Below are 26,562 nucleotides of genomic sequence, written 5' to 3'. Positions count from 1 at the left end.
ACCCTTTTCATTCATTTTCTAAGCTAGCCTGTTTCCAAACATTGAAGACAAACTCATAAAGTCAAAATATATGGCTGTTTCATTTATCATGGCAGATGTTACAGTCATGAAGAGAAGTCACTGGATGCTAATTTGAGAGGTGATGTTCTCCACATTTAGAGGGTGGTGGATACCTTGAACAGAGAGGCAGTTCAAAGATTCTGATCAGCTTCGATAGCTTCCCGGGTTCCATTTTCAGAATGAGTCTTTGTTATCATGCTAAAAATTCTCTTAGCTATCAGATTGGTAGAAAAAACTATAGGCACACGTATATGCCACACACACGCAGACACACACACACACACACACACACACACAAACTCATATAAATAAATTTTGATTAGCTATGTTATTGTTCTCCACTTATATGCATATACTTGAAATTATATATTATATGTGTTATATATATTATATATCTAATTTAAAATTTACTTATCTACAAATAATTTATTCCTGGAATCAGATGGATAGTAATTTAGTTTTTTTAATATCTGTAATCTTGAAATAAGGAGAGTTACCATGGAGTGATATATTCACTGAAAATATGTGAACGTCATTCGTGTGTAAACTAAAAGTTTCCACTGTTGACTTTATTAGATTTAATTCCCTAGTTAAATTGCCATTAGCTCTCAGTTACGTGTATGTGAAGTGTTTTACAGAAAATCTTTTATGTTCCCCAATTTCACTATCAAACTGCTTTCTTCCCCTTCCTTCCTCAAAAACCCCAACTCCACTGTTCACAACAGCAAAGGCGTGGAGTCAACGTAAATGCCCATCAAAGGTAGACCAGATAAAGAAAATGTGGTACATATAACCATGGGATACTACATAGCCATAAAAAAGAAAGAGATCATGTACTTTGGAGCAACATGGATGGAGCTGGCAGTCAATATCCTAAGCCAACTAATTAAGGAAGAGAAAACCAAATTCCACATGTTCTGCCTTTTAAGTGGGAGCTAAACTTTGGGTGCACATGGGCAAAAGGAAGGGAACAACCAACACCAGGGCCTACTTGAGGGTGGAGGGTGGGAGGAGAGTGAGGGTTGAAAACAATCTATTGTGACGTATTGCATACGCTCAGGAGTTTGAGACCAGCCTGGACAACATGGTGAAAACCCATTTCTACAAAAAAAAATTACAAAAATTAGCCAGGCATGGTGGTGCATGGTGCACACCTGTGGTCCCAGCTACTCAGGAGGCTAAAGTGGGAGGATCACTTGAGCTCAGTAGGTGGAGGTTGCAGTGAGCCAAAATCATGCCACTGTACTCCAGCCTGGGTGAGAGAGCCAGACCTGTCTCAGAAAAGAAAAAAGAAAATAAAATACCTATTAGGTACTACACTTATTATCTGGGTGAAAAAATAATCTGTACATCAAACCCCTGTGACATGCAGTCTACCCATGTAACAAACCTGCACACGTACCTCCGAACCTAAAATGAAAGTTAAGAAATTGTGTTCTCAAACTCTCGATGGTATTTATGATATAGGGACCATAACAGAAAGGTGTGCAAAAGTTTATGTGCTTAAGAACTGGAACAATTGTCAGAAACAGTATATTTGGGAAAAGAAGCCAGTTTGGAGGCAAAGATGAGGTGTTCAGTTTCAGATCCACGGCATTTGAAGTGTTGGTGAGCTGTGTGAGTGAACACTTGGCTGGCAGAACAGCTGACTTGTGTCACTGCTGGACGTTCTCACCTCCAACTCTCACCTGGGTTGTGGTAATGTTGGATTCTGGTGTAACAAAGGCAAAACAGTTACTAATTTAGTTTTTGGGATTATAGGCTTGATGATGTCACTTTTCCTATATATCACCATCCTCTGCGTAGCTTCAATTGTTTAAGTCCACTTTTATACTTCAAAAAAAAATCCTAGCTCCTTTGACTCATATATCTTTGAATTTATTACTTACCTATTTTTATTGATGCCACTGACTTGCCTCTTGGTCCTTATCCCTTTTTCACTGATGATTTTAGCCTCCAGCTAATGGTATTCTCTCTCCATTCTATCTCTTCCCTGTTGTCTTCCCTCCCTACTTCCTTAGAGTCCATGATCCGTACAATAACTACTCAACTGAAACCATTTCAGCACTTTTGCCATCTTCCTTTATTGTCTCCACCTGTTCAGTTGTTGAAAACAATTGTCCACTTTCATTTTGTCTTTACCTGAGTAGCTGGATATTGCTACAGACACTTACACAAAAGGAACAGTTACTGTCCTGAAGTTATGCCTGCAATTCCTAAATAGGTTATTGCACTGCTTGTCAATCATTTCCTAGCATACTCTTTCCCACTCTCATACAGGATTATGTCACATTTATTCTTCCCTCCTCAAACCTTCTCAAAAAGCTAAATAGCTAATTTGACACAGCTTTATAGATAAAATGGAGTAAGTTACAAGAAATGCTCAATTTCCCAGTAAATGTAATTGCTTACCATATCTAGACTCATATTCTTGCCCTTCTCAGTTGTTTTCATAGTGAAATGGTTCTGTCAAAGGTTGACCATTATAACCGTGCTCCCCTCTTGCATCCCTCTTGCCTTTCTGAAGACTTAGCACTTGTAATTGTGAGCTTTTTCTCCTGAATTCTTCACATGTCCCTGAATCAGATCATTCTTAACAGACAAATAAGCTGTAATAACTCCCTGTTGTAAAATGAAAACAAATAAGGGAAAAACCTTCCTTGACTTCACATTGTCTTTGTCATTTATCTATGGTTTAATTTTCCCTCCTTAAAATCTGAGTACAGTCTTCACTGCCTTGATTCACATTCTATTTTCAGCTCACCCCAGTTGATCTTCAGCCACGATCACTTTCCCAAGATTTTTAAATTGATGTCACAAGTTGCCTCCATGTTGTTAAATCCACTTTGCTTGTATCACCTTCCAGGCCATTATTTCCCTGTCACTAACAAGAGTCAACTCATTTGTTTATGCCTTATTGGAATGGAGATAAGGAGAGGGAGAAAAAGCACTGAGGTTTGTAAGTTGGAGCTGTGCTGCCCAGGAGTTAGTGTCATCCCCTCAGAGACACCTTCACTGACAATTGTACCTAAAAGGAAACTTGCAACCCTAAGTCACATCAGATTTTTCTGTTGTCCTTATAGCACTATTAGCTGATATCATTTGATTAGTATTTGTCTTCCCACACCATCAGCTTCATAAAAACTGAATCCCAACTCTGAGAGTAGTGCCTGAAATATTGAAGTATTTCATTTAAATGCTAACAATAAGTTGTTGAATGAATTCATGAATGCCTAAATAAAGTCAACACTTTTTATACTCCTCTAATATCAGCGAACACCAGAGTTGTCTTCTTGTAATTTTCATTTGATGTCCTCCAGGTAATAATTCCAGTGCTGCATGGTATCTTCTGTGTGGCTCTTCAAATCCCTTATGCACCCATCTCCACTCCTCTCTGCCTCAGAAGGCTGGCCTGTATGCATGCAGCTACAAGTGTTCTAATTCCCCGCTTTCTGATAAGATTTGGACAATTGTGAGTCCAGCAGGAGCTTGGAGGCAGACAGGAGAGTGGATTCAGAATTTTTATCACTCTAGATCCTTCTCTGTGGGGTTGCCTTGGGCTGGTTGCATTTCCTCAACTCAGGATTGCAGTTGTTCTCATGGCAGCTTGCTCTACCCAGCTGTCTCCTTTTGGCTTCCATGTGTGCCAGGAATTACTCCTACCTTGTTTGTGTGTGTGTGTGTGTGTGTGTGTGTGTGTGTTAATTTCTTTGGCTTTTTAAGCCTAAGTGTGATAACAGCTTTTCTGTTACTAGGTCTTTCTCTACATCTTATCCCTACATTTATAAATTGCCCCTTTAATGAACTAGCCTCCAACTGCCCTGTTTTGAATATATCATGTACTATTTGTGGAACACTGAAAAATGCAGGATAAAAACAAATTCTGCTAAGTAGTCAAACAATTTATGTAATCTTCATCCACAACTTGTGCCATAGTCTAGGCAGAAATGATTTCAACTTATCTTTGGGGTGTCCACGCCATTATTTCCCTGTCACTAACAAGAGTCAACTCATTTGTTTATGCCTTATTGGAATGGAGATAAGGAGAGGGAGAAAAAGCACTGAGGTTTGTAAGTTGGAGCTGTGCTGCCCAGGAGTTAATATAATTTAAACCAGTTCTGGAGTCCAAGGGATGACTAGCATTACATCCTGTTATATTTTAAGTTATGGAGCTCTAACTCCACTTTGCAAATAATTCAGCAACTTTATGCCCTTCCTAAAATACTGCTTTATTCGTCAATGATGAAAACTGTTCTACAGATCAACAAGATTCTGTATGTTGATGAAATCATTGTTTAAACCGAGACTCCTATGAGGCTATGAAAAGAACGCCTCCTTCTGATATATGTTTCCAAAGTTGCCTCCTGTTTTACATAAGTGGTTTCATGCACACACACACACACACAGAAATACAAGCAAAAATTTGAAACAGAATGATATAGCTATTGGCAATTAGAAGCTCAAAAGTTTTTGAAGCTTAATAAATTATTCTGATCTTTTAAAATTCTTTTTCATAAGCCAAGGTTCTATGTTAAAGGAAGTTAATTATTTCAAACAATAGAGCAGATGGAATGCTCAAGAAAAAAATGAAAAGCATTGCTCATGTATTACTCACTCCTGATAAATATCTTTGTATATATACATAGCACACACATAAATGCCAGACATATCACTGAGATTAAAGTGATGTCATCATTTCAACACTGTATTTTCTCACTTCTGTATTCCTTTAAGCAATATTTTAACAAACACAAAATATTCTTCACTATAAAACCAATAGCAAAGTGTATTAATTCTAACAATTATATAGCTAACATAATTTAACTATTAATATCCTAATCTGTTCCCCTATTTTCAATCGTTCCTTTCCTTGTCCACTTCTTGTGCTGTAGTATTCTTTGCCACATTTTATAGCAATTAGAGAACCTTTTTGTGAAATATCGTAATAGAACAATGTTTTAAACAATTTCCAGGGCTTATCATTTTTAGGGGGCCTGAGTGGAGAGTGAGGAGTGGAGAAAGATGTTGAAAATACGCTATTAACATTCAAGAAAATGTCTTGTTCTGGAAAATTATTTTTAGTTCTAGGAGAGAAAAAAGCAAAACAATAACAAAAATAATAAAAATAGAATTTGACTATTGTCAGAAAAAAAAAGGTGGGGTAAGTGAGAGATTAAAAGACATGACACTTTGAAACATGAAAGAAAAAAAGGAAAATAAATATTAAGAGTTCTGAAATATAATTATCATAATAATTTGAAAATCATTACTCTAAACAAAGCTGGGTGGACAGAGAGCAATTTTAAATATATTTTATGCTAACTATAATAAAATAAAACTATATTTCTAGTTTGATTCATATGCCCAATAAACTAAGATATTAAAATTGCAAAGGGGGAGGAATCGCATGTAGCACTTTGCAATTTCCTATTTCTGGAACATATGTCCTAGACCCCCAACTCTTATACAATACAGGCTTTCTAATTCTCTCTTTAAATTAAACCCTTGGGATTACTCGAGCATGGCTGATACACTTAGATAATATCAGGCATTTAATACACACTATGTGCCTTTGATTTACCTGACAAGTGACAACAAGGCTGTATTGAGTTAAGCAGGCCCTATCACTAAATGAATATTTGCAGGATCTGCCTGTGGTTATTGTCATACCAGAACAGAACTCTTGTTCAATATCCTGTTTGGGAAGCAGTCTCCACCAGATGCTTCCAAAGCAGGGCAAAACCACCCATAATGCAATTGGATGGATATGAAATTCTCTACCCCTAAGGGAAAATACTTCATCCTGGCCCCAGGTGGTGGGCCACTAATACTTTGTTTGTATTCCTAGGAGAGCTGTTGTCTTTAAAGAATATATTTTTAAGTGACTCTTTAGTAATATGGACTTTACCTTTCTAACACTGATTATTTTTCTGTGATTATAAGTCACAACAATGGGAAATACTAAATTGGTCAGAATGAGTTGCCTTTCCTTATTTTTCACACAAAAAAGATTCTTTAAATGTGATGTGAAACACATAGAATTATCTTCCTATATTTTATTCATTTCTGATTTCCTATACATGTTCTCTGAAATAATTTGGTAAACTACATGGTAGAAATAAAATGGATTTATGTGTTAACTGAGAAGCTGGATATACAACTGAACAATGGCCAGGCACTATAAGTAAAAGAGAACACTAACCTACAACCCTGTAGCAACCAGCCCTGGAAACCGAGCAACAACTTCTGCAGCAACTAATTTCAGAAGTCAAACCACACTTATGTAGCAATCATACTTTGATGATTGACTTGGTCCAAGACTTCAGCTCACCTGTCCTTTCCCCCTCTCTTACCTGCCCACAACTCAGGATCAACCAGTGAAAGCCAAACATGCTTCCCAACTAATCACATAGGATGCCCCACTTCTAGTAAGCCCACCACCACCCGCATTCAAACAGCCTCCAATTAGGAGAAACCTGAAGCCTTTCCTTTTTTCACTATAAAGCTCTTGACAACCCTGACTGCCTTTGAGTATCTGCCAAATGTGAGCGACATTGGCTGACTCCCTAGCTATAGCAAAGTGACATTGGCTGACTCCCTAGCTACAGCAAGCTCTTAATAAACAGGCTTTCCTCATGCTAATTTAAGTGCTGATTGTCTATTTCTACTACATGCTAATGTTCTTAAAGCATATTCATAAGATTTTAGATTACACTTGGTTTTAAGGTACATTTTAAACTGTTTCAAATGATTATTTCTGGGGCATAGATTAGATGTAATGGGTAACTTTCTTTTTTCTACATATGCACATACACATACAGATATATATACTTATATACTTTTACTTTATATATATTTTAGTTGAGTATCACTGATTCCAAAATTATTTATAAACAATAAGAAATAATCTTGTCTTCAATTAGAGAGCTAAGCTTTATGTAAAGAACTAAGACAAATTACGCATTCAAATGAATTATCACAAAGTCCATAGCAAGCATATAAACAACAGTTTTATAGGCACTGATAAGTGACTACTAATAAAAAAATAAATTAAAATTTGTTTTAGAAAAGTAATTCACCCAGCATATCTTCTATTGTACTGGTGACTTTGGGAAATTGAAGAGTTTGTTCAATTTCATTAAATTCATCTCTTCCTTTTCTTTCTTTCTTCTCTCCAGCTGTATGGAGATATAACCACAGCTGCTGCTTCTTTGTCTACCTGGGAAACCAAGCACGTCTATTATCACACTCGTTTGGATTGGTGCCACCTGTTTTCTCCTCTGAAGGTGTCTGCCAGAGTAGGAAGCACTAGTAACAAGAGGCAAACTTGGGTGGCACTGGCAGGGTTCAGGGCAAGAAAGGCAGGACTGATGCTCTAAACAGAGAGGAGGAAATAAACACAAAATTCAATATGAACCTTGTGGTTGTATATCCAAACTACAAGCAATGGCTCAGAACTAGGGAAATTATATGAATATGGATGGCAGGAATTGAAGGAGGGAGGGAACAAACATGTCACTAATGGAGAAAGGGGTGAAGAAAACACCGTAAATTCCTGAAGATATGGGAAATAAACATGAAATCAGATGGATTCTAAAAAAAGCTATTTTTACTACATTTCCAAAACTCAAAAAATAATTAGAAGTTAAATTTACAACCACAGAATAAAATATTTAAAAGCCTTTATAGAACAATGAACATGTGATTTCATTAAAATATTGACTTAAGAATATTGCTTAAATAGAAATATAAAATCCAGTTGCAGATAATTTTAGAAAAGCTATTCTTAGCAATAATTCTACAGTAATCCCTCAATTTTAATCTATGAATTTTGTTATGGGATGATTTAGACTTCTTTATCTAGACTAGCTAAGTGAAGTATTATTACCTGATCTTTGAAAGGAGACAGTCATTAATTTGGAACGTATTTCCCTTGGTATCTTCTATTAGAGTGAATTTAATAAGCTTGCTCTCAATGTCAAAAGATCTTGGAGAACTGTCAACATATACTAGATAATTTTTTTCTGAAGATTTATTTACGTATTACTCGTTAAGTTCTAAGGTTGAGAAAATTTTTGTTATTTCAACACAAAAGGCAACAATGGTGCCATATTATAAAAAGAATACCTTGGCAACAATGAGTCTTAAAATCATTTATTTATATGTGTTTGTTGATGAAAAGAGTCAAACTCTGTAAAATATTTTAGAGATTAATTCTGAGCCAAATATGAGTGACCATGGCCTGTGACACAGCCCTCAGGAGGTCCTGAGAACATGTGCCCGAGGTGGTCAGGGTACGGCTTGGTTTAATATATTTTAGGGAGGCATGAGACATCAATCAAATACATCTAAGAAATACATTGGTTTGGTTCAGAAAGATGGGACAACTCAAAGCTGGTGAGGGGGCTTCCAGGCTGTAAGTAAATTTACACATTTTCTGGTTGACAATTAGCTGAGTTTATCTGAAGACCTGGGATCAATAGAAAGGAAATGTTTGGGTTAAGATAAAGGATTGTGGAGGCCAAGTGTTGTTGTGCAGAGGAAGCTCTCAGATAGCAGACTTCAGAGACAGCAGGTTGTAAAATGTTTCTTATCAGACCTAAAAGGGTGCCTGGCTCTTAGTTGATTATTCCTTGGATCTGAAAAGGAAGGAAGGAAAACAAGGGGAAAGAGGATTCTCTATAGAATGTGGATTTTTCCCACAAGGGACAGCTTTGCAGGGTTATTTCAAGATATGTCAGAGAAACGTGCTTTGGGGTAAAATATTTTGATTTTCTTCCTTGGTATGCCAGAGTCAGATTGAAAAGTAAGTCACAATATCCACGGTTAAATAAAACCTTTCTGATGAGAATTTATGGTTTGTAGGGCATGACTCCCCAGACCCTTAGACAGGAATTGGGGCAAGATTATAAAAAAATCAGAGCTTAGTCCGCAAGTTTATTTTTCACTTTTGGATTTGATCACTTGAACTTTATTTCATAGGTAACTATCAGGAGTACACATTCTTTATTTCCCATGATTACAGGCAGTAATAGAGCACAGTAAGGGGCAACTACAATAACTTAATAGTTTTTAGCCAATAATCATGCTCTATGATTCATATAAATTTGGATGTGATTACATTTCTTGCATATTTTTTAACTTCACAGTGTAGGCTCCATTATACAAACACCTCATTTATATTTAAAATGTTACTAAGATAATGTTAGCATTGGCTTTATATAAAAAACAGACTTAAAGAGTTTAAGTATTTTTTATGAAAATATACAGCTAGTAGGTGGTAATGTCTAAATCAGAACCCAAGTCTTCTCATTTCAAACTGAGTGTAGTTTCTATTATGCTATGTGTGTCTCATCTGAAGGAGGCTTCTGTGTGCCTAGCTCCTAGCTCATTTTGGAGTAGACTGTGGTACTTCACCAAATGCCTGAAGCTAGTTACAAGCAATCCTAGCATTTGAATAGCATTCATTACTAATTAATATACTATTAAGTACCTGTTAAGTACCAGGTGCTGTATTTGGTGACTTACAGATATTTTCTTTAACGCTTACAATGATTTTTAAATGTAGGAGATATTTCTCTATTACATAAGAAAATTGAGATTCACAGAGACTAAATAATTTGTCTAAACTCATATAGATGACAGAGCTAGGATTCATACCCATGTCTATTTAATTTTTGCTTGTTCTAGGATCTGCTCCTTTTGAGATAGAACACCTTCTAATTTTTATGTAACTATTGTTGAATCTTCTTTCTTGATTCTTTAAGGACCAATCGATTGGCTAGTTTACTTAAGGCCTCTTTTTTCTAAGCTGATGGTCATATATACGTATTGTCTGGAAGAGAAACAGAAGACACCTGGTAAGCATAAACACTATTGCAAGAGTGTTTAAAAAAATAGAGAGGATTGCCACAGGAAGAGAGTAATAATAGCTAAAGCATTCTGTAGATGAGGCAGAGGCATACTTCAAAAAGTTGGAAGTTATTTAAAAAGTTATTACTCTATGATTTTTATATCAAAATCAGTCACATCTTAGCATTAAGCTATGGGGCTCTTGGTAGTAGTCTGAGTAGAAGCCTACCTCCACTGCACTTCTAGCCACAAACTGCAGACTGCAAACCTCACTGGTCATTCTGTGAGTAGGGCACAGAAGAGGGAAGAAGGAAGTCACAATTCCAGCCTCTGTGCTCTGAGGGCAAACTCTTGCCTTCTGATTAAATGTTCAACATTTCAACTGGAGAAGCAGCTATCAAATATCTTCTCAAAGTGAACAAACTGCATAATACTGTTTGCATGGGTTATAAAACAGACAAGAGCTTGCACATACAGGTATCTTGGTTTTGGATGCGATGAAAAATACTCCCAGTAGGTGGTTCCTAGCTCAACTGTCATTTCTTTTCTGAAGGCATCCCATTCCAAAAATACTGTTTTAACCTTCCCTTTTTTTATATGTTCACATTATTTCATAAATTTGTTATAAAATTTACCAAACTCTCTTTTGTGACTGATTTCTGTGTCCCCCCTCTATGTTCAGCCATTAGACTATGTTCTAGTTAGCAGCAGCTCCACTGTATCTTGTTCAGTTTTATAACTTAAGTGCTTCCATGACTTCAGCCTTTGTGGGAGGCACTATTTTCAGGAACACTTGCTGAATTTCTGAATCCAGTTACAAGAATCCTAGCATTTGCATAACATCCTGAGAAGTGGTTAATTGATATTATCCCTGAATCAAATGTAAAATCTGGTAAACACTCCAATGTTGAAACATGTCCATCTTTAGTTATAAAGAAAAGAAATCTTTTGAATTCTAAAGAGTTGGAGAGGAGGACAACACCATCTCTAGCTTCCTTCTAAAGATCAGAAGACTGGGAGAGTATGTCAGCAAATTTAATATTTTCAACAGGAGAATATGTCAGCAAATTTAAGCAGGAGAAGCTTTATCTGATTCAAGTTCAGTGACCTGATTGAAAACTGTAAATTGCCCCAATTTCTTTATGGGCTCTTCTTGTATCCTGGCTCATGTTAGGCCAAAACAACACAACATAGACTGTTGGAAAATTCTATTGCCGTGATAACTGGCAATCCAAACTGACTATGGAAAAAATCTGGCCACGCATATTGGATCATACAAAAAGAACATTACCAAGGAGGCACCATGGCTACCACAGAGATAAGTGGCTCAGGTGAAAGGCAAGGTAGGGAAAAAACCAGTCAGCCATCATGAAACAAAGAGTAATTCTGTTAACAGGTTTGCTGGTTGGGTGGTTGGTCGGTTTGGGGTTTTGTTTTGTTTTGTTTTGCCTGCCTTTTAGTGCAGGCACACAGTGAAACTCTATGTGGGAAACAATGGCTGTGAGGGACTGCCTTTTAATCAGTTATGCCATCTCTACTGCAGGTCTTGATTCTAAATATCATAAAAACCACAAGCTTTTTAAAACACTCTGGCTGTACTACAAGGTACTAATGCGAGACACGTCATAAGAATATTTGAGATGGTACTGATACAGATTGAATAGAAGTGCTACAAAAAGTTATCTGAGTAAGAAACCTGTCCCAGCAAAGCGTACGCTCACTTTACTGGAATAAATTACTTCATTTTACTGCTGCTCATGTCAGTTTTTATGTGATCTAAATAAACTCATCAATGATTTTATTTAAAACCTGAGTCAATTAAATTACTTCAGCAGAAATTGATAATAGCTAATTTCTCTTTTTTTTAATACCACTTTTTTCAGTGAAGCATAATGACCAGGCTCAAACTTAGTTTATGATTTCTAATTTATCTTATGTTCATGTTTCTAACTAGGAGAGAGAAGAGATTAGCAGGTCTTGAAGACTCATTTTAAAGTAGGAGTAGCTATTTATACATTATCAAAAGTCTGTGATGAGAGTCAAGTATAGTAACATGTTAGAGAGCATTGTAAATTTTGAAGTCCTGTGTGAATATAAGTATTCATTCATGATTCATTCATCCCTTTGTTTTTTGTTCATTTTTTTTTCATTCGCAAATATTATTGAGGGCCTTCTCTATGCCAAGTACAACACTAGGCACTTAGGATACATTGAAAAAATAACTTCTCAGATCTCATATGGCTTACAGTCTAGTATACAAAACAAAGGTGCAACATACTTAATAGCTAAACTGTATACTATCTTAGGATGTTGGAAGTTCTGTAGATAAACAAAAATAAAGGACAGTAAATAAGAATAGACTTTTCAGGGGTGAGCTGTTGAATTTAAGTTGTAAATCAAAATAGAGATCATTGAGCAGATGAGTTTCTAGCTAAGACTTGCTGGAGGTGAAGGAGTTGATTATGCAGATATTTGGGAAAAGAAAACAACAGAAAGAGAAAAAAATAGTCTAGGTCCCTAGGGCAAGAGCACAACTAGCATGCTCTAAAAACGGTAAGGAGGCTGGTGTTGTTCAAGAAAAGAAAGCATGACAGGGATTAGGAAAACATGTCAGAAAGCATCAGGAGGGCCAGATTATATACTATCCTGTGGGCAACCATGAGGACTTTGTTTTTTACTCTGAGTGGAATGTTTTGAGGAGAGTAGTGACATGATTATATTTAAGTTTTAAATGTTTCACTCTGGCCACTCTGTTAAAGCAGAATATAGAAATCAGGAGAGAAGTGAGGAAAACAAATAAGTGTATCATAATAGACATGGTAGTGGCTTATACCAGGGTGGAAGCTGTGAAGGTAGAAGTGGTTGCATTGTGGACAGATTTTTGAAATTTTATAAAAACAGTATTTCTTAGAGAATGGATGTGACTGTTAGAGAAATAGAAGACTCAAAGTGGAATGCAATGGTTTTGGCTTGAGCAAGCGAAAGGGTAGAAATGTGAGTGACGTGGAGTAAGACAGATTTCTGGAGGAGCAGGTTAGGGAGAGGGTGAGCAGATTAGGAGCTCATTTTGGAAATGTTGATTTGAAATCCCTATTAGAATAACAGGTAGAGATGTTTATAAGCAATTGAACGTATGAATCTGTAGTTTGGGAGAGAAGTCTGAGCTGGAAATGTTAATTTAGCAATTGGTGCATTGATTCTATTTAAAGCCATGAAATCTGATGTGAACAAAGACGGTGACTGCAGATACAGAAGTACACAGGAACAATGAATGAGCATATGGATAGTCTGACATTAAGGGGTTGGGAAGAAATTGAGGCATGAACAAAGTAGATTAAGAAAGAGAGAAGTGTCTGTTCATATCGTTTGCCCACTTTTTGATGGGGTTGTTTTTTTCTAGTAAATTTGTTTAAGTTCCTTGGAGATTTTGGATATTAGACCTTTGACAAATGGATAGATTGCAAAACTTTTCTCCCATTCTGTAGGTTGCCTGTTCACTTTGGTGATAGTTTCTTTTGCTGAGCAGAAGCTCTTTAGTTTAATTATATCCCATTTGTCAATTTTAGCTTTTGTCGCAATTGATTTTGGTGTTTTAGTCGTGAAGTCTTTGTCCATGCATATGTCCTGAATGGTATTGCCTAGGTTTTCTTCCAGGGTTTTTAATGGTTTTAGGTTTTACATTTAAGCCTTTAACCCATCTTGAGTTAATTTTTGTTTAATGTGTTAGGAAGTTTCAGTTTTTTGCATGTGGCTAGCCAGTTTTTCCAGCACCATTTATTAAGTAGGGAATCCTTTCCCCGTTGCTTGTTTTTGTCAGGTTTGTTGAAGAGCAGATCATTGTAGATGTGTGGCCTCTGTTCTGTTCCATTGGTCTATATATCAGTTTTGGTACCAGTGTCATGCTGTTTTGGTTACTGTAGCCTTCCGTAGTTTGAAGTCAGGTAGCATGATGCCTCCAGCTTTGTTCTTTTAGCTTAGGATTGTCTTGGCTACATTTATGCAGCTGACAAATATATGAAAAAAAGTTCATCATCACTGGTTATTAGAGAAATGCAAATCAAAACCATAGTGAGATACCATCTCATACCAGTTAGAAGGGTGTTCATTAAAAAGTCTGGAAACAACAGATGCTAGAGAGGATGTGGAGAAATAGGAACGCTTTTACACTGTTGGTGGGAGTGTAAATTAGTTCAACCATTGTGGAAGACAGTGTGGTGATTCCTCAAGGATCTAGAACAAGAAATATCATTTGACCCAGCAATCCCATCACTGGGTATATACCCAAAGGATTATGAATCATTCTACTATAAAGACACATGCACATGTATGTTTATTGCAGCACTATTTACAATAGCAAAGACTTGGAACCAACCCAAATGCCCATCAATGATAGACTGGATAAAGAAAATGTGGCACATATACAGCATGGAATACTATGCAGCCATAAAAAAGAATGAATTTGTGTCCTTGCAGGGACATGGATGAAGCTGGAAGCCGTCATCCTCAGCAAACTAACACAGGAACAGAAAACAAAACACTGCATGTTCTCACTTACATGTGGGAACTGAACAATGAGAACACATGGACTCAGGGAGGGGAACATCACACACGGTGGCCTGTCTGGGGGTGGGCAGAAAGGGAAGGGAGAGCATTAGGACAAATACCTAATGCATGCAGGGCTTAAAACCTGGAAGACGGGTTGATAGGTGCAGCAAATCACTGTGGCACGTGTATACTTGTGTAACAAACCTGCACTCTCAGCACATGTATCCCAAAACCTAAATAAAAATTTAAAAAAGAACCTCATTAGAAATACTGTGAAAACTTCAAAAAAAGAAAAAAAAGAAAGAAAGAAATATATTATCTTAGCTCAGGTCGCTTTACTAAAATACTGTAGACTATGTGGCTTCAACAACAGCCATGTATTTTTTACAGTTCTGGAGGGTGGGGAGTCCAAGTTTAAGATGCACACTGATTTATTTCTAGGTGAGGTACCACATCCTGGTTTGCTGAAGACCTTCTTCTGGATGTGTCCTCACAGGGTGGAGAGAAGGAGTTGTAGTCTTCCTTCTTCTAAGGACACTAATCCTATCATGGAGTCCCATCCTTGTGACATTATCTATAACTAATTACCTCCCGAAGGCTCCATTTCCAAATACCCTTACATTGGGGTTAGCGATTTAACATAGGAATTCAGGGAGGACACAAACATTTAGTCCATAACATATTAATATATATTAAGAAGGAAGAACTAATCATCAGGGTCAAACGCTTCTGATATGTCAATTAAAATGAGATCTTAGGATCAACCATTGGATTTATCAGTTTGAACATCACTGGTGACCTTGGGAAAGCATTTTTAGTGGAGTGGTGAGGGTAAAATCTAGTGGGGGTGACTTCAAAGAGAATGGGAGAAAAGGAAGTGGAGACAGTAAATGAAAGATCTAAAAAAAATTGAGCTTTTTTGTTCTTTTTTGGTTTTTGTTTTTGATTTTGGTAGGGAGAGGGTAAATTGCAGCATACTGTCTATGTCAACGGAAAAGATCTAGTAATGAGTAAACACTCAAAAATGGGATTTCAAGGTGTGAATTGTTGGAAAGATGTTCTTAAGTAGGCGATCCAGGAGAGGAACCAGTGCAGAAGAGGAGAAACTGGATTTAGAAAAAAAAAAAAAAAGCATGCATGATTTATCTCTGGTGCTACATTTATAAGGCAGAGGGTGTGAAAACTAATGCTGGGAGGTTGGAAGATACGTGATGGAAATATCCAAAAGTTCTTTTCTAATTGTTTCCATTTTCTCTGTAAGATATAAAATAATTAGCTCAGATTGAGGCTAGGGGAAAAAGTGTCTAGTTAAGAAAAAGAATGTCTATAATTGCATATAGTATAATTGTATGGAAGCATAAAGGGCCCATATGAGGTTTCTGGTCATGTATTAAAAGCAAAACCAATCAACAGGTTGTGTGTTTTTCTCCAGCCACACTCAGCTGCAAGAATGAAGGGATTAATACATTGGATATACTTGGCCAAACAAGTTTTATAAAGTCAGAGATGTTGCAAGGAAGCTGAGGATGTATGCAAGGAAATGTTTATGATGACTGACCTTAGAATTTAAGCTGGGTAAGGAAGTAAGAGAGACATCAAGACAGTAGAGGATAGTTAAAAGTTGTTAGGTTAAAAATTTAAGATTGTAGAAATTATAAGTATTAAACTGGTATAAAGAAACACCCAAGACTGGGTAATTTATAAAGAAAAGAGGTTTAATTGGCTCACAGTTCTGCAGGCTGTACAGGAAGCATGGCAGCATCAACTTCTGGGGAGGCCTCAGGAAGCTTTCAATCATGGCAGATGGCAAATGGGAAGTGAGGCACTTCACATGGCCAGAGCAGGAGATCTAATCACCTCTCACCAGGGCCCACGACCAGCATTGGGGATTACATTTCAACATGAGATTTGGGTGGGGACACAGATCTAAACCATATCAGATGCCCAGAACTCCTTCACTGTTCATGTCTTGCTCTCAGAGCAGGTGGGAGGAATCACTATTAGTGAAATTAATATCAATCAATTTTCCACTCATATCTAGTTCTTATAAAGGTCAAAAGAAGGAAAAAAAAACCCCAATAGCTTAATTCTGTGTTTTCTATCGTGCCACTGCACTCCAGCCTGGCAACAGAGAGAGACTCTGTCTCAAAAAAAAAAAAAAAAAAAAAAAAAAAAAAAAAAAAAAATACTGACGTCTGGGAATTATCCAAGACACTGAAATATCTGGGGTGAGAGAACTGGAAATGTGACACTAAGTTTCTGTATTTTTTAAAGCTCCTCAGGTGGTACTAATGGAAAACCAGGGTTGAAGACCAATAGCTTTTAAAAGAGGTTTACTTATCTAGTCATATTGAGCTGAGCTTCCTTTAGCAGAGATAATCAGTGGTTGACAAAGGCAAATTATACTCATCACTTCTCTGGTTTCATAACTATGAAAAGTGTCATTAGTAACATACCTACACGGAAGATATTAGAAATGTTAACACATAAGGCAAATCAACAAGGAAGTCAATGATTTTTGTTAGATAGGAAAGCTGTTTTTTGTTAGATAGGGAAACTGTGATAGACCAAGTGAGCTTATGCTGAGAAAACATGATCAGTTTTCTATAATCAATAGTGACAACTCTCTGTCTAAGTAAAAATTGCTCCCTGGAGAATATAGCTTCTCTGTCAGTGTAAATGGAATAGCAGATAATTGCATGTAACTATAATCTCCCCTAAAAGATCCTTCTGCATGTTTCATTATGGTCAATATCTGATTTTTGAGCCAATAATGAGTTCAGACTATAGAATTGTATTCCATTGAATGAATTTTGGATGTTCTATCTGAAATATTTATCTGTTTGTATATATGTGTGTGTGTGTGTGTGTGTGTGTGTGTGTGTGTGTTTCTCTTTAGTGGTTTTTAAATTCCGGCCAATTTAACCTTGACTCTCATGCATGTTTGACTGTTTTATAATATTGATATTTAGTTGGTCAACTTTTCAAGCAACATTACACAGGGAAATTATGTTTGCAATAAGAAAATTTCTTTTGTATTTTGGCTGAAGGTATTTAAAAAGCATTCATTTCATGTCTGTAATCAATGCCATTGTTGGGTGAAATATGGTTTCATCAAACTTCGCAGTTTCAATTAAAAAAGAAAACCTCATCTAAAAGAGATTTAGAACTGAGAGCAGCAGATAGGAGAATAATAAATACATCAATAAACCATAATATACTAGATTCTCCTCTCCTGTACCCTTAAATGTGGCTGAGCACTTTACCTATCTTTTGCTTAATCCAACACCCATCTGAAGTTTTCTCATTGGACGTAACAGTAGATAAGAAAGCATGCGGCCATGTGGACATTTCTATCTATAATTTTCTTCAATTACTTCTCTTTAAAAATTTCACGTTCAAGGAGTACATGTACTTGTTACATGGGTATTATAGGTGTCATGGTGAGGATTGGGTTTCTTGTGTACCCATCACCCAAATACTGAACAGTGTACCCAGTAGGTAATTTTTTTCAACCCTCACTCCCCTCCTTCCCTCAAAAGTTAGGTATATTGGAGCACTAATTTACAAACAGTGAAATTTATTCTTTTTAGAATTAAAATTCTTTGCATTTTGACAAATGTACAAAGTCATATAACCATCACAACAATCAAGGTGTAGAATATTACCCTAAAAAGTTAGAAATGTTCCTACAAGTCAGTTATGGACATTTACATAGTATCCATTACATCGGTTACATGATCCTAATAAAGTCCTCTCTTGTTCCTTTGCAGTTATTACCCTCCTATCATCCCCAAGCCTTGGAAACCGCTAATCTGATTTCTGTGGCTGTATGTTTGCCTTTATTAGAATGTGATATCAAGGTAATTATAAGTAACAGTATTTTGTATGTAACCTCTTTTATTTAGCCTAATGCCTTTTAGGGCCATCTATGTCATTACATGTATCAGCAGTTTGCTTCTTTTTATTGCTCAGTGATACCATTGTCACAATTTAGTTGCCCACTCACCAGCTGACTGATATTAGGGTTGTTTATAATTTTTGGTGTAAAGTATAAGGCTGCTGTGAATGTTTGCATACAGGTCTTGGTGTAGACATGTATTTTTATTTATTGTGGGAAACTGCCTAGAAACAGTATTACTGGCATGTAGGTAAGTATACATTTTAATATTAAGAAACGGCCAAAGTGTTTTCCAAGGTTTCTGTACCATTTTGCTTTTCTAGGAGCAATGTATGAGAGTTGCAATTGCTGTACTCCTTATCAGCACTTGGTGTCATCTATTTGCGTTTTGACTTTCACATTCTAATAGGCGCAATATCTCTTGGTAGTTATATTTACATTGCCCTTATTACTAATAGTGTGTTTCTTTGCCATCCATGTTTCCTCTTTGATGTAGTATGTGCTCAAATATTTTCTTGATTTTTAAAAATTGGGCCATTTTTTTCTTTAATTGAGCTGTCAGAATTCTGTGGATATAAGTACTTTATATAAATAGGTTATTTGAATCAGATATGTCATTTTTCTCCCAGTCATTGACTTATCTTCTCAGCTTCTTAATAGTTACTTTAGAAAAAAAAAGATGTTTGGTATTTGATGAAATCAATTTGTTCACTTTGTTTCATGGGTTATATTTTTATGGACTTATCCAGAACCACAATGATTTTCCACTATGATTCCTACTAGGAGTTTTATAATTTTAGGTTTTACATTAAAATCCATGATGAATTTTGAGTTAATTTTTATAAGTCATATGAAGCATATGTTGAAGCTCATTTTTATTGCATATGGGCATCCAATTTTCCAGCATAATTTCTTGAAAAGATTCCCTTTTCTCCACTGAATTACGTGGTCGTCTTTGACAAAAATCAATTGGCCATATATTTGTTGGCTTATTTCTACACCCTTCTTATTTTCCAGTGATTTGTATGTTTGTCCTTTAGGCAAGGATAGAATGTCTCTATGTTATAAACTTACAGTAAGTCTTGAAATCAGGTTGTGTGACTTCTGGACCTTTCTTCTTTTATGAAATACCTTGGCTCTTCTTAGTCTTCTACTTTTTAATGTAAATTTAGAAATCAACTTGTTGATTTCTACCCAGAACACCCGGCTGAGATTTGGTAGAGATTGCATTGACTCTATTGTTTAATTTGAAGAGCATTGATATCTTAAAATATTTCCTTGTAGTCAATTAACATGGTATATATCTCTATTTGTTTATATCTTCTCTGATTTTTCTCATTAAGTTTTGTAGTTCATAGCGTATACATTTTACATATGATTTTTTCAGGTTTTACTAAATTTATCTTTACATGTTCTGATGTTCTGTTTTTGATGACATTGTAAATTACCCTATTTTCTATTTTAATTTCCAATTTTTCTACTGTTAATATGTAGAAATAAAGTTGACTATTTATATTGGCTTTGTACCATGGAAAGTTCCTAAATTCACTTTCTTCACAGAGTAATTCTAGTAATTTTTTCTTCTACTTTTTTTTTTGGTGATTTGCTACATAGACATCATGGGATCTGTGAACAAAGGCATTTCTATTTCTTGTTTTCCAAGTTGTTTGAGTTTTTTCTTTTCTTTATTATTGATTATAATCTTCAACATGATGTTTAGTAATAGTGGTGAGAAAAGACATCCTTGACTTATTTCCACTGTCAGAGGGAAAAATTAGTCTTTTACCATTAAGTATTATATTAGCTGCAGGTTTTTCATAGATGTCTTATGAGGTCTTATATTAATATTTATAGAGTTTTTCTCATAAATATATCTTGGATTTTGTCTAATGCCTTTATCTGTTAAAGTAAGTTTATGGGTTTTTTCTTTAGTAAATAACATTAATTGATTTTCAAAAATTGAATCAACCTTGCATTCTTGGGATAAAATGACTTGCTTATGAGGTATGATATTTGAAATGTTGCTATCTTTGATTTTCTATTAATTTGTTTAGTATTCATCTATCTATGTATATGAGGTATATTGTTGTATAGCTTTCTTCTTTTTTTTTTTTTTTGTAACATCTTAGCCTAGCTTTGGTCTCAGGGTAACGCTGACTTTATAAAATGAGATGGAGAATGTTCAATCCTCCTCTATTTTCTCCAAGAGTTTGGGTAGAATTAGTATTATTTATACCTTAAAATTTTGATAGAATTTTTCCATTAAAGCTTTCTGAATGTAAATATTCCATTCTGGAAACTTTTAAATCACAAATCAATACATTTAATAGTTTAAAACTTTTAAAGTTATCTATTTGTCCTTGAGTGAGTTTCAGTAGTTTATGTCTGTTAAGGAATTTATTTAATCTACATATTCAAATTATTACAAAAAAAGTTATTCATAATATTTCCTTTTTATCTTTTAGTGCCTGTCTAATCTGTTGTGGCATCCTCTCTTTTGCTCTTGTTATTAGTAATTTTTGTGTTTTCTTTCTTTTTCTTTACTTTGATCAATGTGGTCAATATTTATCAACTTTATCTTTTGAAAGAATCAGCTCTTGGTTACATTGATTTTATTTTTAAATTTCATAACTCTTGCTCTTTTCTTAGTTATTTTCTTCCATTTGTTTTAAACAAATTTTTAGATACTGGCAAATGGGAGAGCAGCACCATATATTGAATAATGATTTACGGTATACACCGCACCCTGGAAAACATTGCTCCGGTTTTGCCAGGGGGTGCCATCTAACTGATAGTGTAACTGACTCTTCCAAAGGCCATTCAACCATTTTAACAGGCCAGTGGTTTCAAGTTCATAAGGAATATGGTAAGACAAATGAATTCTACGAACATGAACCAATTGCTCTACTTCATTTGTTGTGAAAGATGTCCTTCACCAGAAGTGGTGTTAGGTGGAATAACGTGATGGTATCCACCATGATGGTGGATAAGGCTTTCTGTAAGTCCAAAGGTGGTGATTTTGGCAGAGGCATTGAGGATAGGAAAGGAAAATCTATATCCAGAGCAAGTGTCTCTTTCAGTGAGAATAAAGTAAGGCCTCTTCTAAGATGGAAATGACTCAATGTAATCAACCTGCCAATATGTAGCTGACTAATTCTCCCCTGGTAAATTATGTTATATGGGAGGTTAAATGTTCACATCTGATTTGGCAATTGGGCAGTGAGAAGTTGCTCAACGTTAGTGAGTAGCTTAACCTTAGTGAGTAGAAGTAGGTGTTGCATGGCCTCATTTCTGACACAATGGCCAATTTTTTCATAAGCTTAATATAATGACAAGAATTATAGAATGATCCATCTTATCCACCTATTAAAATTCTCCTCTCTTGTGGTCACATATTTGTGAGCATTTACATGCAACATAAATATCTTTAACTTGCTGTCCACTTAGAAATATCTATCCAGGGCTGGGTGCAGTGGCTCACGCCTGTAATCCCAGCACTTTGGGAGGCTGAGACAGGCAGATCATGGGGTCAGGAGATCGAGACCATCCTAGCTAACATGATGAAACCCCGTCTCTACTAAAAATACAAAAAAATTAGCCGGGAGTGGTGGCAGGCACCTGTAGTCCCAGCTACTCGGGAGGCTGAGGCAGGAGAATGGCGTGAACCCAGGAGGTGGAGCTTGCAGTGAGCCAAGACTGCACCACTGCACTCCAGCCTGGGTGACAGAGCGAGACACCATCTCAAAAAAAAAAAAAAAAAAATATATATATATATATATATATATATATATATATACATCTCGAGATATTTCTCCCTGAGACCAGTTTTCTAACTGTGTATTTTCCAGCATTCAGTGAAACTATTAGCCCACAGTTCATACATTGGTATAAACCATACCTCTATTTCTCTCTCCAACAAAGGGACATTGGGTATATTGCTCAAAGTTCTGCTGATCAGGCAGCTTTGCCTTAATTGATGTCAACAGGGCCCCACAGAGTAGAACTATATCATTTCGACTGGTCACATTTGGATGGCACCTACTTATCAAACAGAACTTATATACTTCAAACTCTACTTATTCATTTTCAGCCAACTAGTCATAGACACTCCTAATGAAGCCATAGGTGAAGGTTGAGTAAAAGAATGTAAGTTTTGCAAGAATAGGAACCATGGGCTTTCAGGAAACTTTCTCATATAAATTATAGTGCCTGCACAACCTGCTGAAGCCCAATCTCAAACATATCATTTTCACTTGATGACAGCATGCTGCTTGCTGTCCACACACAAACGTATGGTTAGGTAGGTCAGACAATATCCAATTTATGATGAGCAGCTCAAGTTACATGATAATTTGGGAGTCATGGTCAAGCATTCAGTCTCTCCTAAAGCCTAATAGCAAACCAGAATCTAAACAAACTTCTCAAAAACAGAGTAGTTAGCCACCAGAAAAATGGTATTGCTTTTCATTACATTGATGTTATTATACTCAGTGGATCTAGTGAGCAGGAAGTAGCAACTACTCTAAACACAGTGGTAAGACTCTTGTGTGACAGAGGTTTAAAAATAAAATACACAAAAATGAAGGATACTGCTGCCTTGGAAAATTTTTTAAGAATTTGGTGGTCTGGGACATGTTAGGATATTTCTTCCAAGATTAAAAATAAATTGCTACATCTGGCCCCTCCTACCACTTAAAAAGAGGTAAAATATCAACTGGATCTTTCTGCATGTAGGCAGAAGCATATACTTCATTTGAGTATTACTTTAATACATTTTCTGAGTTATATAAAAAGCGGCAAGACTTCTGCAACAGGTCCACTGAGATCATTGAGAGGTGAATCTCAGTCAGATCATCTGACCTCAGTAAGCTTCTACCTGGACTGGTGAAACAACGTTTTGGTTCTGCAAAAATTAGTGTCGGCTCAGATTCAGTAATTAGTAATATCCTAGAAGTCTATTTCCTCTTCTCCAATGTGTGGTCACTCTTGTAAATGGCTAGAGGTCTCTTTGAGGAAGAATAAGGTCATCTCTTTAAATTTTTCGCAGAGTGGAAGGGTCCTTCCTTAAGGGAACCCACCTCTCTTCATTTAAGGAATTTAAATGAAGGAATTTAAACTTAAATTCCTTAAATTCCTTGAGTTTAAACTTAAATTCCTTGAATTTAAACTTAAATTTCTTGAATTTAAGGAATTTAAACTACAAGCTTGTTCAAGTTTAAAAATTGATTGAGGGTCCTGCCTCTTTGTTTTGGTGATTCAAGTCAACCTTTATTTACTAGATCTAGAGTTTTTGACTTATGCAAATCAAATAAGCTTCAATATGTTATGTACCTATTTCAGTTCTAGGGACACTATAATCAAGTTGCCAATAACACAAATTTTTGTGGATCAGACTATTCTGATTAATGTTCTGGCTCTGTGTCTAACACGATAACCATGCTCACTTGGTCCTTGAACATTAAATGACACTACTTGGTCCCTGCAATCCCAGGATTCTAATTGTAGTTAGAGATTTCTGTTTAACTATAGCAGTTTCCTCTTTAATAACTGGCCTACAGAGAAGAGACACTATGGAGCTCTTTAAGAATATGGGGAAGAGGAGGGAGAGACTTTCTTCAAAAATTTTTCCTACTTTCATAAGAAAGAGAGTGTACTTTAGACCCTGGAGGGTATATTTAAGGGATGAGAGGGTTGAGCAGGTCTTACATGGTAAATCCAGCACATAATTCTAGTTGCACTAAGACTTTGGATAACTTCCTCTACAGTTTACTCAGAAAAAGAAAGCATTTCAGCCTCATTTGGTGTGGGATTACTTTTGGTCCTATTTCCATCAATGATGGAACTGTACCTTCTCGTGGGTCAAACTTTGCATTTCATCTTTTAGGACCTCCTGTGACTGGAATTTTGTGATAAAGTCTAGAAGCAAGGAGATGGGGTTAGTGGTAGTTCCTAGGAAGGATAGGTAGCCCCTTGTAAGGCAAGTACCTAAAGGGCAGCCAATACAACGTCTTCAGGTAAGGGGGAACTGACTTCCTCTGCAGATTTAAGAGGGCTACTTCTAGTGGCAGAGTGATCTTGGCAGAATTTCAGGCTTCAAAGTTCTCAGCTTCAGTGGAATGTCTCCATGGGTCTCTATCCTAATTTTCACAGTCTCATTCCTTCCCAAACCTTGATGGCAACCTTAACAAAAGAAATCCTGAGAGGTTTAAGAATTAAATTTGTGTTGTAATTCAGTTATCTATATATTAATATTTAGAGTTTGCTTTTCAGAAATCTTGATAGGTACAGAATATAAGAGAAGTAACAGAAGCTTTGAGGTCTCTTATGTGGTCCTTGTGCTGGAAATTTAAATCCCTGAGTACATACTTTCTCCCTAGCTTTCTCCAGTGCCATTAGAAGTAGCGAAAGAATCTCATTATTCTCCTTATTTTCACTAACATGTTATACAGCAGCAAATAGTTGTTCACCCAAAGCTTTGTCTTCTATAGACATTTAATTAAAGTATGTAGGATTATTACTGCCTTTACATTTAATCACATGAGAAAACCAGTGCTAGATAACCCAGAACCAATTCAGATAAACTGTGGGGGATATAAAAATATTTTTTCTTGGCTTGGTGCAGTGGCTCACGCCTGTAATCCCAACACTTTGGGAGGCTGAGGCAGGTGGATCACGAGGTCAGGAGATCAAGACCATCCTGGCTAACACAGTGAAACCCTGTCTCTATTAAAAATACAAAAAATGAGCCGGGTGTGGTGGCAGGCGCCTGTAGTCCCAGCTACTTGGGAGGATGAGGCAGGAGAATGGCGTGAACCTGGGAGGCGGAGCTTGCAGTGAGCTGAGATCATGCCACTGCACTCCAGCCAGGGTGACAGAGCGAGACTCCGTCTCAAAGAAAGAAAAAAAATATATATATATATATGTGGTTTTTTTTTTCTTTTTACCCTTTTAAGTTTTTGGCTGGGGTCCCTGTCACAAATAAAGAAACAACAACAATGAAACCAGATTAACACAAGATAAAAGCATGCAGATTTATGTAATATAAGTTTTATGTGACATGGAAGCCTTAGTAAAGAAATGAAGATTCACAAAAGCAGTGAAACATGGCCATTTTCATGCTAGGTTTGATGAAGAGTAAAAAGTTGTAGAAAAACGTGACGGGGCAAAGGGTATGAGCTAATTGTGGTAAACTGGGGAAAACTTAGCAAGGGTTATTTGTTCAGATTCTTTTTGGCATTCTTCCATTTTCAGAGATAAGGATGTTCCTTTCTCCAGGTATAGGGAAGGCACTTCTGACATGAGGGTCTCATGACCTGTATAAGGGGAAGGTCAGAAAGTTTTTCCTGCACATGACATTTCTCAAATTCCTTCACTTTAAAATATTCAGTATACTAAAGTGCCATATTCTCAAGTAGCCTATCCTGAAATCCATCAAAACCATTTTTTGAAACCATACTTGATAATTGAATCAAAGAAGTAGAATGAATATACACACAAATATACATATTTTTAAGGACATTTTTACAGAGATTTGCCTTTATGCTGAGGCAGGCAGTCAGGAAGTAAAGATGGATGTAAAGTTTGGAGAGCATGTGCAAGGAAAGCCATGAGCACAAACTAGAGTCCGTAAGGCCAGAACAGAGTCTGTGTCACTTCTCACTTACACCAACCTCAATTATGTCAGTGTCCCATGGAAAAGTTAGTGCCATTTGTTACAGAGTTAGATCTACACTTGGCCCAGGAGTTGGGTCAAGCTGAAGGGGGATCAGCTGCAAGACTCTCTGCTGTCTGACACTGCTAAGGTGAGCAAAAAGAAAAGCAACAGCATGCATTAGCCCCAGCCCTGGCATTGTGAGCATGAAAAACATGGCTGCGGCTTCACTTCCACCATCTACATCTCATGCAAAATATCTTTTGAAGCTCACTATAATTAGGAGACACACACACACATACACACACACGCGCCTATGCAGGTGTGTGGAAATTCTGAGAAACAGAGTTGAGCCTAGCCAAGTGGACACACACTCAAAGTTGCCTATCCATGGCTTTCAGTCAAATGCATCATTTAAAACTATACAGAGCTTTACTACTTTGTACGATCTTAAAATACAATAACAATTTTGGCCTTCATTTTAAAATGAAGGTAGATTAAGTAGCAGTTCATTTAAGCTGATAAGTTAATGTAAAAAGAAGACCATATTAGA

The 26,562-nt window shown here is 36.4% G+C and overlaps 1 protein-coding gene across 1 annotated transcript in view; it reads left to right on the top strand.

The window, feature by feature from the left end:
- The window catches only part of AGMO (alkylglycerol monooxygenase), a 444,793-nt gene extending 426,496 nt beyond the window's left edge, over window positions 1-18,297 (top strand). The window contains exon 17 of the transcript XR_001744759.1: window positions 18,231-18,297. The gene's annotated coding sequence lies outside the window, so the exon portion shown is untranslated. The remainder of the gene's footprint in view (window positions 1-18,230) is intronic.
- The last annotated feature ends 8,265 nt before the right edge of the window (window positions 18,298-26,562 follow it).

Source organism: Homo sapiens, chromosome 7 (assembly GCF_000001405.40).
Source record: "Homo sapiens chromosome 7, GRCh38.p14 Primary Assembly".
NCBI classification, from domain to species: domain Eukaryota; kingdom Metazoa; phylum Chordata; class Mammalia; order Primates; family Hominidae; genus Homo; species Homo sapiens.
This window is presented reverse-complemented; position numbering and strand designations above follow the sequence as displayed.